Source organism: Homo sapiens, chromosome 12, assembly GCF_000001405.40.
Source record: "Homo sapiens chromosome 12, GRCh38.p14 Primary Assembly".
In the NCBI taxonomy this organism is placed as follows: domain Eukaryota; kingdom Metazoa; phylum Chordata; class Mammalia; order Primates; family Hominidae; genus Homo; species Homo sapiens.
Window position 1 is genome coordinate 35,314,671 of NC_000012.12, and position 2,948 is coordinate 35,317,618.

Below are 2,948 nucleotides of genomic sequence, written 5' to 3' on the forward strand. Positions count from 1 at the left end.
AACACTCTGTCTGTAAAGTCTGCAAGCAGATATTTGGACCTCTTTGGGGCCTTCGTTGGAAACGGGATTTCTTCATAGAACGCTAGAAAGAAGAATACTGAGTAAGTTCTTTGTGTTGCCTCTATTCAACTCACAGAGGTGAACTGTCCTTTAGACAGAGCAGATGTGAAACCCTCTTTTTGTGATATTTGCAGGTGGAGATTTCAAGCGCTTTTAGGCCAAATGTAGAAAAGGAAATATCTTCGTATAAAAACTAGACAGAATCATTCTCAGAAACTACTTTGTGATGTGTGCGTTCAATTCACAGAGTATAACCTTTCTTTTGATGGAGGAGTTTGGAGACACTGTCTTTGTAAAGTCTGCAAGTGGATATTTGGACCTCTTTGAGGCCTTCGTTGGAAACGGGATTTCCTCATATAATGTTACACAGAAGAATTCTCAGTAACTTATTTGTGGTGTGTGTATTCAACTCACAGAGTTGAACCTTCCTTCAGAAAGAGCAGATTTGAAACACTCTTTTTGTGGAGTTTCCATGTGGAGATTTCAATCGCATTGAGACCAAAGGTAGAAAAGGAAACATCTTCGTATAAAAACTAGACAGAATCATTCACAGAAACTACTTTGTGATGTGTGTGTTCAACTCAAGGAGTTTAACCTTTCTTTTGATGGAGCAGTTTGGAAAAACTCTGTCTGTAAAGTCTGCAAGCAGATATTTGGACCTCTTTGAGGCCTTCGTTGGAAACGGGATTTCTTCATATAATGTTTGATAGGAGAAGTCTCAGTAACTTCTTTGTCCTGTGTGTATTCAACGCATAGAGTTGAACTTTCCTTTAGAAGAGCAGATGTAAAACACCCTTTTTGTGGAATTTGCAGGTGGAGATTTCAAGCGCATTGAGGCCTACAGTAGAAAAGGAAACATCTTCTTACAAAATCTAGACAGAATCATTCACAGAAACTTCTTTTCGATGTGTGTGTTCAGCTCACAGAGTTTAACCTTTCTTTTGATGGAGCAGTTTGGAAACACTCTGTTTGTAATGTCTGCAAGTGGATATTTGGACCTCTTTGAGGCCTTCGTTGGAAACGGGATTTCTTCAAGTAATGGTCGACAGAAGAATTCTCAGTAACTTATTTGTGGTGTGTGTATTCAACTCACAGAGTTGAACCTTCCTTTAGACAGAGCAGATTTGAAACACCCTATTTGTGCAGTTTCCAGTTGGAGATTTCAATCGCTTTGAGACCAAATGTAGAAAAGGAAACATCTTCGTATAAAAACTAGACAGAATCATTCTCAGAAACTACTTTGTGATGTGTGCGTTCAACTCAAGGAGTTTAAGCTTTCTTTTCATAGAGTAGTTTGGAAACACTCTGTCTGTAAAGTCTGCAAGCAGATATTTGGACCTCTTTGGGGCCTTCGTTGGAAACCGGATTTCTTCATAGAACGCTAGAAAGAAGAATACTGAGTAAGTTCTTTGTGTTGCCTCTATTCAACTCACAGAGGTGAACTGTCCTTTAGACAGAGCAGATGTGAAACCCTCTTTTTGTGATATTTGCAGGTGGAGATTTCAAGCACTTTTAGGCCAAATGTAGAAAAGGAAATATCTTCGTATAAAAACTAGACAGAATCATTCTCAGAAACTACTTTGTGATGTGTGCGTTCAATTCACAGAGTATAACCTTTCTTTTGATGGAGGAGTTTGGAGACACTGTCTTTGTAAAGTCTGCAAGTGGATATTTGGACCTCTTTGAGGCCTTCGTTGGAAACGGGATTTCCTCATATAATGTTACACAGAAGAATTCTCAGTAACTTATTTGTGGTGTGTGTATTCAACTCACAGAGTTGAACCTTCCTTCAGAAAGAGCAGATTTGAAACACTCTTTTTGTGGAGTTTCCATGTGGAGATTTCAATCGCATTGAGACCAAAGGTAGAAAAGGAAACATCTTCGTATAAAAACTAGACAGAATCATTCACAGAAACTACTTTGTGATGTGTGTGTTCAACTCAAGGAGTTTAACCTTTCTTTTGATGGAGCAGTTTGGAAACACTCTGTCTGTAAAGTCTGCAAGTAGATATTTGGACCTCTTTGAGGCCTTCGTTGGAAACGGGATTTCTTCATATAATGTTTGATAGGAGAAGTCTCAGTAACTTCTTTGTGCTGTGTGTATTCAACTCATAGAGTTGAACTTTCCTTTAGAAGAGCAGATGTTAAACACCCTGTTTGTGGAATTTGCAGCTGGAGATTTCAAGCGCTTTGAGGCCTACGGTAGAAAAGGAAACATCTTCTTCTAAAATCTAGACAGAATCATTCACAGAAACTTCTTTTTGATGTGTGTGTTCAGCTCACAGAGTTTAACCTTTCTTTTGATGGAGCAGTTTGGAAACACTCTGTTTGTAATGTCTGCAAGTGGATATTTGGACCTCCTTTGAGGCCTTCGTTGGAAACGGGATTTCTTCAAGTAATGTTCGACAGAAGAATTCTCAGTAACTTATTTGTGGTGTGTGTATTCAACTCACAGAGTTGAACCTTCCTTTAGACAGAGCAGATTTGAAACAGCCTATTTGTGCAGTTTCCAGTTGGAGATTTCAAGAGCTTTGAGACCAAATGTAGAAAAGGAAACATCTTCGTATAAAAACTAGACAGAATCATTCTCAGAAACTACTTTGTGATGTGTGCGTTCAACTCAAGGAGTTTAAGCTTTCTTTTCATAGAGTAGTTTGGAAACACTCTGTCTGTAAAGTCTGCAAGCAGATATTTGACCTCTTTGAGGCCTTCGTTGGAAACGGGATTTCTTCATAGAACGCTAGAAAGAAGAATACTGAGTAAGTTCTTTGTGTTGCCTCTATTCAACTCACAGAGGTGAACTGTCCTTTAGACAGAGCAGATGTGAAACCCTCTTTTTGTGATATTTGCAGGTGGAGATTTCAAGCGCTTTTAGGCCAAATGTAGAA

At 38.8% G+C, this 2,948-nt stretch overlaps 1 annotated feature.

The window, feature by feature from the left end:
* Positions 1-2,948: part of a centromere (Linear centromere model derived predominantly from reads generated in PMID: 17803354. This region does not represent an actual centromere sequence, as long-range ordering of repeats and unmapped WGS contigs is not provided by the model. For details of model production, see http://arxiv.org/abs/1307.0035.) that runs on past both edges of the window.